Source organism: Homo sapiens, chromosome 12, assembly GCF_000001405.40.
Source record: "Homo sapiens chromosome 12, GRCh38.p14 Primary Assembly".
NCBI lineage: Eukaryota > Metazoa > Chordata > Mammalia > Primates > Hominidae > Homo > Homo sapiens.
The window spans coordinates 26281364-26297201 of record NC_000012.12 but is presented as its reverse complement, the minus strand read 5'-3'; the positions used below and the strand labels follow the sequence as shown (position 1 = coordinate 26297201).

The 15838-nt window shown below is 44.4% G+C and overlaps 1 long non-coding RNA gene across 3 annotated transcripts in view; it reads right to left on the bottom strand.

Annotated features, from left to right (window-relative positions):
* Nucleotides 1-15838, bottom strand: part of LOC105369705 (uncharacterized) — a 57584-nt gene that overhangs the window by 13254 nt on the left and 28492 nt on the right. For all 3 annotated transcript variants that reach the window (XR_007063249.1, XR_931451.3, XR_931452.3), the window contains exon 2: nt 8940-9719. This is a non-coding gene — a long non-coding RNA (uncharacterized LOC105369705). The remainder of the gene's footprint in view (nt 1-8939; nt 9720-15838) is intronic.

Genomic DNA, 15838 nt, shown 5'->3' with positions numbered 1-15838 from the left:
TAAGGGAAGTCAAATAAGAGGTTGATATATATGCTATACAAAGAGCTGTTTGAAGTTGACAAGAAAAATGCAAGCAACCCAATAGAAAAATGGAGTAAATGGTTAACCATCATGAAAGGGTGCTTGAATTCCCTAAAATTATGGAGCTGCAAATTAAAGAATCAGTGAGGCCGGGCATGGTGGCTCACGCCTGTAATCCCAGCACTTTGGGAGGCTGAGGAGGGCAGATCACAAGGTCAAGAGATCAAGACCATTCTGGCCAACATGGTGAAACCCCGTCTCTATTAAAAATACAAAAATTAGCTGAGCGTGGTGGTGCACGCCTGTAGTCCCAGCTACTCAGGAGGCTGAGGCAGGAGAATTGTTTGAACCCGGGGGGCAGAGGTTGCAGTGAGCCGAGATCGTGGCACTGTACTCCAGCTTGGCAACAGAGCAAGACTCCATCTAAAAAAAAAAAAAAAAAAAAAAAATTAGTGAAATGTCAATTTCTATGGCAAAAGTTAAAAAGAACTCTACTACCTAGTATTGGTGAGCATGTAGGGAAAACTGTACTTTTATATATTACTGGAGAAAATATGAAGACTTACTTGCAGCCTTATTTAGTGGAGGCAAAATGACAACGTTTCTTAAAATTAAAAATACATATAGCCTTCACGCCAACCATCCACCTCGGTTTTAATGTTATAGAAATCAAACAGCAATACAACAAGACATAAGTACACAGATATATATTGCAATGCTGCCTGTATGAGGGGGAAGAAATGGGGAAAAAAGAGAAAACTCTTCAAAAGAAGAGAGACTGAATAAATTACAGAATATTATACGCCATCACAGTCATTTGGTGCTGTTGTCAGTTGACATGGAAAGATTTACATGGGGAATAATGATGGCTTAGATTTGTCTAGTGCTTACTGGGTGATAGGTGTGATTTCAAGTTCTTTACATATATAGGCATACCTCATCTTATTGCACACCACTTTACTTGCTTCACAAGTACCACATTTTCCCAAGTGGAAGATGTGTGGCAGCCCTGCATGGAGCAAGTCTATCAGCACCATTTTTCCAGCCATGTGCTCACTTCCTGTCTCTGTGTCATATTTTGGTAATTCTCACAATATTTCAAACTTTTCATTATTATTATATTTGTTATGGTGATCTGTGATCTATGATTTTTTTAAAAAAAATTTTTACTATTGCAGTTGTTTTGGGGCATCACAAACTGGACCCATTTAAGACAGCAAACTTAATAAATGTTGTGTGTGTTCTGCCTACTCCACCAACCGGCTGTTCTCCCATTTCTCTACCTTTCCCTCTATTCCCTGAGACACAAAAATATTGAAATTAGGTCAATTAATGACCCTGCAATGGCCTCTAGCTGTTAAAGTGAAAGGAAGAGTCACACATCTCTTACTTTAAATCAAAACCAGAAACAACGAAATTTGGTGAGGAAAGCATGTCAAAAATCAAGATGGGTCAAAAGCTAGGCTTCTTATATCAAACATTTAGCCAATATGTGAATGCAGAAGAAAGGTTCTTGAAGGAAATTAAAAGTGCTACTCCAGCGAACACACAAATTATGATAAATTGAAACAGCCCTATTGCTGATATGGAGAATATTGGAGTGGTCTGGAGAGAAGATCAAAGCAGCCACAACGTTCCTTTAAACCAAAGCCTAATCCAGAGCAAGGCCCTAACTCACTTCAATTCTGTGAAGGCTGAGAAGAATGAGGAAGCTACAGAAGAAAACGTTGAATTTTGCAGAGGTTTGCTCATGAGGTTTAAGGAAAGAAGCCCTCTCCATAAACTCACAGAGCCCAGAGTTATAGGGACAAGAAGCAGAGGTCTCCCAAGTGGGTCACTGGGAGTGATGGGAAGCAAGGCCATTCTTACAGCCACACTGTGTTTCCCAGATCCATTTATTCTACCTACTGGGGCCACAGCACAATACGATGGTCATTGATTTATGGCTGCTATTCTTAGCAAGGATTCTCCAAGATGATTAATCCCGAATGCCCTAAGGCATCCACTCTACAAAACGGATTAACTTTCTGCCTAAGAGTCTAGGGTAGTATTAGCTGTGGACCATCCTTGGAAGAAATAGGATAATGGAGAAAACAGTTATGCAAATCATTTTCGGTATGCCTTAAATCTCTCATGGAATTCTGATTTAAAAAGATAGAAGTTGTATCCCATATCCTACAAGGCAGCATCTCATCTATACAAGGTAATATCTCCAAGCAGGTACTATGCTTCTGAAAGACCATTTCACCATTCTACCTGGCTAGTAACTAACTTCTTGATGATGCGTTATGTGATAAGGCCAGGAGATTTTATGATTGTATGTCCACTGTCACATCTTCTTTGCTATAAAACAGTCATTCTCTAGCATTGGTGTAAGAAGGACTGAGTGGGGATAGGGGGCATGGTTAATGGGTACAGAAAAATATATACAGTTAAAAAGAATGAATAAGACCTAGTATTTGATAACACAACAGGGTGACTATAATCAATAATTATTTAATCGTACATTTTAAAATAAAGAGTACAATTGGGTTGTTTATAACACAAAGGATAAATGCTTGAGAGAATGGATACCCCATTTTCCATGATGTGATTATTGCTTGTTGTATGCCTATATCAAAGTATCTCATGTAACCCATTAATATATATACCTACTATGTACCCACAATTTTTTTTTAAATCAACTGATGGGCTTGTTAAAAAAAGATTTCTGGGCTCTGCCTCAGAGTCTCATTCAGTAAGTCTGGGGTGGGACCCAAGAACTTGCATTTCTAAAAAGTTCCCAAGTGATGCTGATGCCACTGGTCCAGAGACCACACTTTGAGAACCACTGCTTGGGTTCCTTTGTCCAATGCATTATTACACAAGATGCTAAGTCAATGCATCAGACACTCTATAAGCCTTTGGACAGTACTGCAGGCTATAGCCCTGCAGGCAGGAAAGACAAACCCATACCCAGAATATATGCCACTGTTCCTTCCAAGTGGAGGGGATCAAATGTAATCAACTTACCATCAAGTGATTGGTTGAACTCCTGGAAGGACTGGGTCATATCAGGGGCCTGGCGATGGCAGACTGACAATTGTCAGTGGGAGTATCTAGATCAGCTTTTGTGGGTGGCAGCCTATGCTGTTGAACCCATGAGTAGCTTCCAATCATGCTACTACAGTACTTCATTCACACACCCATTGTGCCAGCACTCTCACCAATGAGAGAGGCTTGCTGGTGTCAACTGGCTAAGTCATTCTGTCTGCTTGATATTTTAGTGCTTTGTTTGTGGTTAATGCTCTCTGGTAGGTGGATAGTATGGATACAATGATTTTCACATTGTGTGCATTCCAATAAGACCATTCACATGCCTCTTTCTCAGATTTCATTGTCCAATCTTTCAATCTTTCTCTTTCCAGACCCTTGACCAACCAGCTGAACCGTTTACTAGTGTCTATAAACCCACTTGTATTCTTACTGCAGGCCACTTCCTTTTCCACATGAAGTAGCTGGCGAGGTATACCACCTGAGGCTCTGCCTGTTGGGAGGATTTCTATTTACTGCTGTCTTTCAAGGTGTTCTCTGAGTAAGGTAGCAGCATTCACTTTTGGCTCGCATCCACAAGCTCAGCCTTTTTTTTTTTTCCCTCCATCACTTGGTTATAAGGGACTCTCATGCAGCCACAGGTGTGAGCTGAGAGAAGATGTGGCCAGACAGTGGGGGGTGACATGGGAGTCCAAGTCACCTGCTTGTGTGGCTTCCTTGTTCCTTCTGGCCTTGCTTGTGACCTATCCTGGATGTGCTATTTCCATCTTACAATGGACTGTGGCTGATCCACCTGACTTTATGACTTGGTGAGTCTGTTAGGAACCAGATCATGGGCAATTCTGACCACATGTTCACTTGCTGTTCCATTGTCAGGGATTTCATCTCTACCAAGGGCGAGTAGCATTCAAGTTGTTATCTTTTGAAAGGTGTATGATTCTCTGCTGTACATGGTAGGCCTCGATCTAAAACCCTTGGAGTCTATATTGTGATTCTCCTACTAGTCTTGCCTTAAACACCACATGACAGCTTTTCTTACCATGGATGTCTCTGATATTATAAAGTCTGCTGGGTCATATTGTCCAAAAAGCAGGGTGGCCTGGACCACAGTCTGGACCTGCTACAGAGCTCTTACTTGCTCTGGGCCTGTCTCAGAGCTGGAAGCCTATGTCACCCATTAAATGAGTTGTATTAGCATTCTCCCATCCTCACAATGCCTAGTTAATCCTTTCTCCAGTGCATGGCTACCAGAGTAAGTGATGGTAGGACCCTTTTGGGAAGGACTGCGTGACTCATTACCAACTGTTTGCTGTGGTGTTGCAGTGTCCTGTCTCCCAGGAAAGCATCTCCTTCTTATAATGGGATCTGTGTCTGAAAACTAGTTCAGACCAGAAACTGAGTCATGAACTTACCTTCTTTGTTCCCTTCAGTCTTTACTTCCAATCTTTCAGCAAGTCTGTTGGCTTCATCTCCAAGGTGTTCATTTAGCCTTTCTTTCTTTTTTTTTTTAGACAGAGTTTTGCTCTTGTTGCCCAGGCTGGAGTGCAGTGGCGCGATCTCGGCTCACTGCAACCTCTGCTTTCTGGTTTCAAGCAATTCTCCTGCCTCAGCTTCCAAAGTAGCTGGGATTACAGGCGCCCACCACCACACCCAGATCATTTTTGTATTTTTAGTAGAGACGGGGTTTCACCATGTTGGTCAGGCTGGTCTCGAACTCCTTACCTTATGATCCACCTGCCTTGGCCTCCCTAAGTGCTGGGATTACAAGCGTGAGCCACCATGCCTGGCCCACTTAGCCTTTCTATTCTAGGTGCTTAGGATTACAGAAGTAAAGAGAAAAACCCCAGGCTCCATGTTGCATATATTTTAGTGAGTTATGCAGACCACATATATGAATAGGTAAACATGTAACACAATATCAGATGACAAGCACCATGAAGGAGAATAAATTGGGATAAGAGGCTGGAGCATGATCGGGGGCAGGGAGTGGCAGTGGAGTGGAGTGGGGTTTGCTTTTGTAGATAGGGTGGCCAGGACAGGTCTCTTTGAAAAGGTGACATTTAGGTAGAGACATACCTCAGGTGGAGAACTAAGGCATGTGAGTGAATGGAGGAAGTGTATTCCAAACTCTGCCTAGTTATCTCCATCTACATTCCTGCCATCCTAGCTCCTGGTGCCACTGTCAGCAACCTCCTAACTAGTGCTCCTGTTTCGATCTTCCCATTTGCACAATCCATTCAACATGCAGCAAATGATCTTTCCAAAGCATAAGTTTAATTCAAGCCACTCATCTGCTGAAAACCTTCCAATGCCTTCCTGTTGCACTTAGAAAGAAATCCAAACTCTCACTGTTACTTTCAAGTTTCCACATCATCTGGCCCTGTCTACCTTTCTAACCTTATTTCTTCCCACCTCCCTTTCACTGACCACCCTCCCGTCACTCTGGCTTACTTCCTATTTGAAACAGTGGAGGTAGGGTTCTCCCTCAGTGCCATCATGTGTGGCTCCCTCTGCTTGGATAATTTCTGCCCCCCGCCCCCCAACCCCCAATCCCTTAACACTGTGGATTCATCTTACAATTCGGAACTCACCTCCTATGTCACCTTCTCAGAGGTGCCTGCCCTGACAACCTCCCCATCTAAGATTGACTGCACTTGCCTCCACTGTCAGTCCACCTTATCACTTTTTTTCACAGCACATATCACTACATGAAATGTTATGTATTTAAATTGCTATTCTGTTTCTATTTTGTCTCTCCCTCTCCCATTTCTCAGTGAGCTCCATCGCTGAAAGGCTCTTGCCTCTCTCAATCAGTGCTCTATCCTCTGCACCCCAATAAAATAGTCACTCAATTCATATTTGTAGAGTAAAGAAATGAGTCAATAAGAAACCCCTTCACCTGGTGCTTGAGCCTCTCTCCACCAAAATTTTATTGCTACGTGTGAAATTAAACCCAATAATGTGTTTATGGCCCAGTCCTGAGCCTTTTAAGAAGCCACGCTCGACTCACCACCTCCCACTCTCATACATTAGCCAGTTCTCAATAACCCCTGGCAACCTGGAGAAGATCTCAGCTTCCTTCTTGAATGTAATCAATGCAAACCACTCTGGGACCAATTTCATAACCTGTTCCTGCCTGTCAGCCTCCTGGCCTCCTGCTTTATTCCCCCACATAGGGCATGCCCTTGCTTTGAAGTTTCCTCAGGCATCAGTAACAGAGGACCAGGTGCCTGCATCATCATCCCATCTCCGCTTGTGAATTTTCCATACAATGTGCACTGATACTGAAGACAGTTTCAGTATCACTTTCACTTGTGACTTTTCCACTCAATTTCTTCTTTCCATGTTTTTATCTGCCATGCTCTATGGCAACTGTGTTCCCAGATTTATCTGACTGTTTTCCTCCCCACAACACACTATGTTGAGTTTAAAGTCTAGCCTCTCCCCAGGCACATTCTTTCTGTGCATGCAAAATGTAAACCACCCATGGCCAAGAACCTAGTATTCCAGGATTTTAAGCCAATGGGCCCCAAATCCAAATCCAGTTTGTCAACACCACCTGGGCAGGCAGTCATCGATCTCCCAGCTCTTTCCCTTTCATCTCAAATCCAGATTCTCAGTAGTATTAAGTGATAGAAAACAGCACCTGTGCCCCAAGTCATTTGGTGTTTTTATTCAAGAGTTAATATTCTCCAAAGATACTTTCCTGAGGGCCTCTAATTGTCTGATTTCAGACCCAAATACTGGTTCTGTTTTCCCTCTGCAACAATCAGGTTTCCTGTGGACAGGTCGGGGTTTTGAAGGTCTCTTTACAATCATTTCTGATATCAGCCAATAATCTCTTTGTTCTCATATTTCCGTATACCTAGAGCTCTTTCTATTAGATATATTGAAACTATTCGTGCCTTAAAAATATAGTTCCATATGGAGATGAAATCCCAGAGTCAAGAGATCTGTGTGTCCCACATGAAAAAGAATGGGTAGCTGAAAACAAAAAGGAGATAGTAGAGGAAAAATGGACTCAGTTCCTGGCAAGAACTATGATGCCCACGGATACATGAGAACTTCTAAAACCTGCCAATGGAAAAGGAGGAGTTGATGAGGTCACCTTATGTTGCAATTTTTTGCCTCTCATCATGGGCCATAAACTTTGTAGAATAATCAGAATTTTTGCTGGAGTACCTTCCACATTTAAGTTATAGATCCAATATTAAACAACAATAACTACCGGAAAATGAGAACATAAAGCTCTTTTCCAAATGGATTGCCCAGTTTATTTATGTAATTATGAATGTAGCTAATGCTTCAAGTTGCAAAGCTGGAGCACGAAGTGGTCGAAGAAACAGGTAGTTCAAAACAGCCACCACCAAGAGGACAGAATCCAGCAGGGCAATCCAGAATCCCCATGGTTTAGAATGAAACCTAGGTTCCAATGTCAGCTCTCTCAGATATGCGCTCTATAACATTTAATCTCTGGATGTTACCATAATCCTATGTAAAAATGGGAGTGAAGATTCCTTTCCAGGTTATTCTAAGGATGTAATGACATAGTACACAGGATAGCACCAGCATGGTGCTTGGCACCTGAGTACTCAAGAAGTGTGAGTTTACTGTTCTTTTTACTAGGTGGCCATCCCAAACTCTGAGATTTTAGACCCCATACAAACATTAGACACTCCTTGCTGTGCCCCTTTAAAAAGTAAGAGGAAATAGCTTTGTTCAACCTTCTTAAAAGGCCATTGGCCAGAACAACATCCTTCCATACCTACTTAATAACGGTTAGAAAGGAAAACCTCAAGCTTTGCTACCAAAGGGATGTTTGATATTGGAATGCAGGGAGTGTCATGGTATCCATGTTTCAGCCCAGTGGGAATTTCAACATAGACTTCAAACCAGAGAAATCTTAATTCTATCAAAAAGTGTATACATGGAAGAGGAACAATAGAAGTTGGTAAGTCAAAACTCGATGAGAACAGAATAATCTGGTGCACTGAAGAAGAGCACCTGATTTGTTTAGTGATGAAGACCCGGACTTCTGTGTCTTAATTTGCTGTGGACAATTTTGTTGTCTAAATTAACGTAGAGCAAGGTTTTAAAACTATGGTTCTCATTTCAAATTATGACCTCAGTCATTCCCAACAAAACATTTAATTGTCTTTGTGAAGTTAAAGAAATCTCCAAGTTAAGCAAAACCTCAGGAAGAGCAAAACCCTGGCCACTGCCAGTGTGCCCTAACTCTCCTCTTCCTGTTTCTGTGGCAAACTCACCCCACGGCGCTCATTCCCACTCACATGGGCTGTGCTGTCAGATTTGCAGTTAAGATTTTGGGGCCCAGAACAAGTAAAGGCAGGTGAGAACTCTGATGACAGGGCTCCATTTGTCTAGGGCTACTGCGTGCTGTGTTGGCCATGGGCAGAGCTCCCTTCACAAGGAGGAGGAGGAATGTGTTCTCTTAGATAATGCCAATGGATATTGACCACTGATTGGCCCCAACTAGCCTCTCTGTTTCTACTCTCTGCTCTTTGTATATTACTAGCTTTGTTCCTGCTTTTCTGAATACCAGGCCTGCTTCCATGTAGCACACAGCTCTGCTTCCTCCCTGGTACCCAGTTAGATTTAAGCCTCACTTCAGATCCTCACCGCTATTGTTCACTGAACACAGGTCTCTAGGTCTTGCCTAGCAATCAGCTGTTTTTTGTTACTCCTCCTGGGCAGAGCCTGCGTGGCCTTAGCAGGCAGCCATTCTCAGTTGTCTTTACCTGGTCTGGTTAACCTAGGTCTGGCAAGCTGCCCGTAGGGTCCAGCCTGGCCTGCCCTGGCCTTGTCTGGCCTTGGCACTTGGTGTTGGGGGTGTCCCACAGCTTTCCTCAAGGGACAGCCTGTACCTGAGTTGGCCCAAGCCGAAAAGGAGGCCTCCTCTTCCTTTTCTGGATTTGTGGTTCGCTAGTTATTCCCCAACCCTACCACAGTTGCCTTGGCAGCAACACACCCTGGGGCCTGCTGGGAAAATTCCACACTCTGATTTGGCACCTGTTCCTGGTAGCAGACCGGCCTGAGCTGCTGGGGAAGAACACAGGCATGATGAGTTAGATATTGAACTGATCAGGGCAGCAGGGGAGTTCCTTTCCATGAGAGTGGCCTGCAAAGCAGAATTAAGGAAATGGTTTCTTTTCTTTCCTCTGTTAGCAATAAATCTCTGTGCCCCAGGACGGCCTCAGCTTGGCAGGTTGATACTCAGATGATTGCTGATGGCCTACGTGCCAACCGCAAGGCAAGCTTGAGCACTGCCAACTCAGCCTCCACAGAGAATCCCTTCTCTGGGAATGAGAGGTGCCGTTCCAAACCCCAGCGAGCTGGAATGTGTCCACTCCTACCCCTTGCACGTCGCTACAGTGCACAGTGGTCAGCTGAATCAGAAGGGCAGCGGAGCGGCCTGTCTGTACGGGAAATATTAGGCCATGCTCTGAAACCTGAGACATAAAGAGAAATTTGGCCATGGAGGAGCTGTGGTTCCAAAACTGATAAAAATGTTCCAAAATCTTGCTGTCATATGCTTGATTGCACCAATCCTCAGAATGGCAAATGAGCTTCCATCTTAATTATAGCTTGGGAAGGACGTGTAGACAGCTCTTTGACTTCTGTTTCATTCTGTCCATTCCAAATGGCTGCTTCCAAAAGGGGGAAAAAGAAGAAGAAAAGAAGAGACATAAATAACACTCCATGGACTGTCTCATTTGCCCTGGAAACTCTCCTAAAAGGTTAATGTTGCTCCTCATGCTTCTGGACATGTGCGGGTAGCTTGCTGGGGGCTGGGAAGTCTCTCCAGACTCCTGCTGCTATAATGCCCGACCAGGCGGAGAGGGACGGGTACCAGGCAGCACAGAAACAAGTTCTGGTAAACCATTGTTGCCATCAGGGTTATGTGTGTAACAAGAAATCTCATGAGGAGAGAAATCTCAGTTTCCTTCCCTGAGAAAAGAAAGGAGCAAGAAAGGGAAGGGAAGAGTGGTTATAATGCCTTCAGGGTGCCCAGAAGAAAGAGAAGCCCTTGGACAATGAGGAAATCAAATCTCCATCTGCCTCAGATGATGCTGGTAACATCCGGAGCCCCAAGGAAAGGGGCCCTTCACTTCCTGCTTGAAACATGATAGATTTCCAGTGCCAAGTGTCCTGACCAAGTATTTTGTGGCAAAGATAAAAGACAGGAGGAAATGGGTCAAAAACCCCAGTGTAGACTGTCTTTGGGGAAAGAGCCAAAGAGCCGAGTTATTCTATCTTCATGTAGTCTGAATCCTTAAAGTACAAAGCAGGGAGCCCCAGCCTCACCCAACTGAATAGGCCATAAGGTGCCAGAAGATGTGGCCAGAATGTAGCTCTGCTGTAAGGGAGAAACTTCCCAGGGTCCTGCTGGAAGGTGTGGGGCTCCTTTTGGTGAAGAGAAGGTATCCATGGGGAAGGTATAGAAGTCACCCAAAAGAGGCAGAGATTCAGGATGCCTGTGAAAGTGAGGCAGGAATTCAGCTAGTACAAGTTGAAGGCAAATAGGGCTATAAACACGGCTGCCCTAAGTAGGCTAATGGAGAAATGGACCAAAGGCCACAGAGGGCAAAAGCAAGATGCAATGAGTTTCGCCACTGGATTCCCTGGGCCATGAGAATAGCCCCTTTCTCCTGCTGCCTCCCAGCCTCATGTGATTCTCATGTGCTGAGTGCAGGCTAGCGGAGGGCTTTGAAATCAGCTCCCACTGGTGCTGGAGGTGGGCCGCGTGCCCAGATGCCCTATGAATCACCTGCAGCAGGAGGAGCTCGTCACTCTCCCATCTGCCATCCCTGCTCTCAGCATCCAAATCGAGTTGGAAGCAGGAAATGGGCCCAGGGACCTCAGCCTTCTCCCTCTTTCCTGCCCCACTCACTGGGAAGGGAGTCAGCCTTAAGTCATTAACCTTGAGACTCCCTGGCTGTCCAGGGTGGGCCTGTTGTAGCTGTGGGGCCCAACCCCCAGCCTGCTAGAGACCTCTGTATTGGCCGGCTTGGGCTGCCATATGAAATACTGCAGATGGAGTGGCTCAAATAACAGAAATGTATTTCCTCACTGTTCTGGAGGCTAGAGGTCCAAGTTCAAGTGCCAACAGGCTTGGTTTCTAGTGAGACCCCTCTTCATGGCTTGCAGACACTCATCTTCTGGCTGTGTCCTCACATAATTTTTCCTCTGTGCAAAGTACCCCTGGTACCTCTCTTCTTATAAGGCCACCCATCATATTGGATGAGGGACCCATCCTTGTGACCTCATTTAACCTTAATTACCTCTTAAAGGTCCTGTCTCCAAATACAGTCACATTTAGAGTTAGGGCTTCAACATATGAATTTGGGGAGGAGGACACTATTTGCTCCCTTATGGTGCCCCAGCAAGTGTAATTGCTTATGAGGGGTGCTGGAATGGATTCCTTGGAATCAGGAAGCAAACAGTTTGTCTGGGAACTTCAGAACTAGCACCTCAGCCCTGTCAGCACATAAGGCATCCAGTGTGCCTCATCTGCTCTTGTGATCTGGCTGGGGATGGGGCATCGGCATGGCCATCTGAAAGAGCCTTTATTGTTGGCTTGCTTATTTTTCTACTTGGTGGTTGGGGGGGAGGGTTAGAGGCAAATTCCTGTTGTGCTTCTACTTCTATTAATATTCTTCAACCACACACATTTATTTAGGAAATCACATAATCTTAAAGATGCTAGGGACCTTGAGGGGTCTTCTGGCGTGGTCGCTTGCTTCTGGGTAGCTCTGTGCCATGAAATCATTCAAGGCAGAAGAAGAATGATCCTAGCTGCAAAGATCCATTTTCCTCCCACCTCCAGCATCTGCCAGATGCTCTGAAAATTTCACAGACGAAAGAAATGGCTCCATTAACAATGATAAGTACTCAAACTAAACAAAATTTATAGAGCAGGCTAGGATTGATTTCCTTAAAAAAGTATTGATTGCTTAGTATATATCAGTCACCAGTGAAACTGAGGGTTGGAGGGATTTAGTAACTCCCCATAGACCTAGCTAATACATAGGAGGATCAGGGTTAGGACACACATCTTCTCCACTCCCACTTCAGTACCCTTACTATAATGCCATAAGGAAGGGAAGGAAACAGGAAATCTGATTTAAACAATAAAAACTTTAATTATGGAATTTCTTTTAAACAGTACATTTTCAAGAAAACGTATTTGTGACTCGGCAAAAATATCTTTGCTGGCAAAATTCAAGAGGGACCCAAATCCTATATAATCAGGTGATTCTAAGATTTATGAGGAGCCAGGCTTGGTTGCTCATACCTGTAATCCCAGCTACTTGGGAGACTGAGGCAGGAGGATTGCTTGAGCCCTGGAGTTCAAGACAAGCTTGGACAAGACAGTGAGACCCCATCTCTTTAGAAAAAAAAAACACTACTTATGAAAGCAAGGTTTTCACTAGCAGGGTAAGCATGGCCCTGATAATTTGATTTCTGACACCATGCTTAGCAAAACCCTTCCTTTTGGCCGCCCCCATCTTAATGAGTACAAAGTCAAATAAGTGAGGCCCCAAGCAAGGAGCAGGCTTAGAGAATGAGGGCCATGACTCTCCTAAGGTGAGGCAGGCTCACCATGTGGCCATTTGGTCCCCTCACAAACTTTCTTTAAAAGCCAGAGAGCACTTAAAACTTCTCCTGTTGCTACTTCTGTCAGATGAGATCAAATTGTTCCTTCTCGGCACACCTGCTCCCTCAAGGATGGCAAATTGGGGAAGATGTGTTAGGGCTCTCCAGGGGGACAAAACCAATAGGATATATATATATATATAATATGTGTGTGTGTGTGTGTATGTATGAGTTTACTATGTGTATGTGTATATATATATGAGTTTACTATGTATATATGAGTTTAATATATATAGATGAGTTTACTCTTTCTATATATGAGTTTACTATATATATATGAGTTTACTAGGGAGAATTGGCTCACATGATTACAAGATGACATCTCACTATAGGCTGTCTGCAAGCTAGGGAAAGAGAGAAGTCAGTAGTGGCTTAGTCCAAGTCCGAAAGCCTTAAAACCAGGGAAGGCAACAGTGCAGCCTTCAGTCTGTGGCTGAAGGTGCAGGAGTCCCTGCGAAGCTGCTGGGGCAAGTCCCAGAATCCAAAAGCAGAGGAACCTGGAGTCTGATGTCCAAGGGCAGGAGGGGAGGAAGCAAGCCTCTGGCATAGGAAGATAAAGAGAGTCAGAAGACTGAGCAAGCAAACTTTTGCCTGCTTCTGCCTGCTTTGTTCTAGCCGCACTGCCACCCACATTGAGGGTGGGTCTTCCTCCTCCAGTCCACCAACTCAAATGTGAGTCTTCTCAGGAAGCATCCACACAGACACACCCAGAAACAACACTTTACAAGCCATCTAGGCATCCTTCAATCTGATCAAGCTGACACTTCATATTAACCATCACAGAAGGTATGATGGGAGTCTCCCATCCCTCACCAATGCAGTCATAGCTAACCTGGCATGTGTGGCCTCTTTCCCACTGATCTTTGATGTGATTCAGAATCCCTCTCAACACAGCACTCAAGAGGGAGTTGACATGTGAACCAACACCCAGTTGCCAGCTTGTTTTTTTTTTTTCACCTGCTGCTTTCGATTCAGAAGGGTGCTGGAAGCTTTCACCCATCTCTTCAGTTTGCTCTTTATTTACATTCAACCATGGCAGGGTCACAAATTAACTTCAGGCCACGAAGATGTCTAGATAAAGTACTTTGGTATTGCCCCATAACTGCTCTCTGTTGCCCTTACTGGACAATGGGGAGGGGACAAGGAAGGGTTCTGTACTTTAGATCAGCACTGCTCAAACCTGAATGTGACTGTGAACCCCCTAGGGGCCTGGTCAATATGCAGATTCTGTTTCCTTAGGTCTGGAGTCTCAGGTCTGGGACCTCAGAGTCTGTTTCTAATGAGCTTCCACCTGAAGCTGTTGGTTTGGGGCTCATACTTTGAGTAGTAAGGCTTTTAGACACTATGAGAAGCCTAGTCTGGTATCATAATTTAAATAGTCTCCTTATGAAACTCTTTAGTCTCTCTTACATACAATACTTAGTTGTTCAGAGTTCTGTTCCCTCCCCTTGCTCCTCTCAGGGATGGTGTCTGGGTATATGAGGAAGGAGTGTGTCTTCAGTACCTCCGTGGCAGAATGGGGAGAGGGTATCCATGAGTCTACATGGAGTCTCCAGGGTCACCCCGTGGCAGGTCTGGGCTGCTTCGTGGTCTGGTGACCACTAAGTTACCACCAGGCTCCTCTCTGGGCCTGTGTCCAGACTAGGAAGTTAATCTGAAAGAGTGATCTTGTGAAGATATTAATAAATGACATTGACTTCTCGTGTCAACACAGAAAATCTATGAGCATCCAGAGAATTCTAAGCACAATGGCAGCCTGGTATTTGGGGACAGGGGATTTCCAGTGACTCTCACATCACATGAAGCTGTGTATTCCATCCAGGGGTAAGGTTGAGCTAAGATGCTTGGCATCTCCAGACCTCAGTTTCTTTTTCTGTAAGCCATATCTCATGGTAGTACTTTTTACTGTCCTCCCTTAGCTGCAGAGAAGTACAGTGAATCTACTTTCGGTTTTGCCTCAATCCAAATGCAACCTGAACCCTTCTGAAGTAAAAGAGGATGGATGGAAGTTAATATCAAGTATGCCTGAGAATCCTGAACCCCAAATGGTGAGAATTCCAGAGCTAGGGGAAAACTTAACAATTGGTGACTTTTTACTAACTATGATTTAGCCCCCCATTCATCCATCTACCTGGCCACCAATGTTTGTTAAGCATTTAAATGGATCACAGAGCAATGCACTAGGCAACAGTCAGTCATTTGAGATAAATGAACATATAAAGTTCAAGGCCACACTTCAAAGCACAAATTTCCTGTTGCCTTAATTTTCAACAGGAATGGAGCATAATTTCATTTCTGTGTAAAACTTGCTTCATGGGAGTCTTGAAGTGAGTCCTGTTGAAAGCCCCTTTAAGGAACACTGTCAAGAATCCCTGACATTTTCTCTGGATAATGCAAACCAGGGGCTTTTAGAATGCTCCACAGATTGTCACCAGAGCTCCCATTTACTTGCAAATCCACTTGACTACCAAAAGTGAAATGAGGAGAGCAGCCATTCTTGTAAATAGAAAGAGGTCATTATTGCACTGATGGAAACAAGTGGCCCAGACCCTTCCACCAAACTAATGCATTCTCCCAGCCCCTTTTCAGTTTGTTTCACATTTTGGAAAGAAGGAGCAGACAGATTGGGTGACTTGCCCAAGGCCACAAAATATGCCACAACCAAGGTTTGGAATGAGACATGTCGTTCCTGGCTCGCAGTACCTTTTCCTCACAGTCCTACCTCTCTTTGACTACACGGGTACCGGGGCTGCCATGAAGACAAAAAGGAACAAATTAGAAAGTGTCATGCAGCTGTATTATTTTTATAGTCCTATTGTATGTGACATCTGCCTGTTGTGAATTTGCTCTGTAGATGAAGAAAGCTAAGGATTTCATCATTTGGACAGCGAATAAGGTCTGGTCACCAGTCCTGGAATTTATGGGAGGGCAGCCAGTCCTTGAGACTTTGAAAAGGGAATGCTGATGGGCTTCGCCTCCAGCCCTGCCTCAGCTTGAGCCAACCATGTCAAAGGCAAGCAACTTAGCCGTGTACTATAGAGCAGGAAATTAACTCAAGGTCAGCAGTCCCAAGAGTGGAGATGTGAACGATGCACTGTGAATGCTC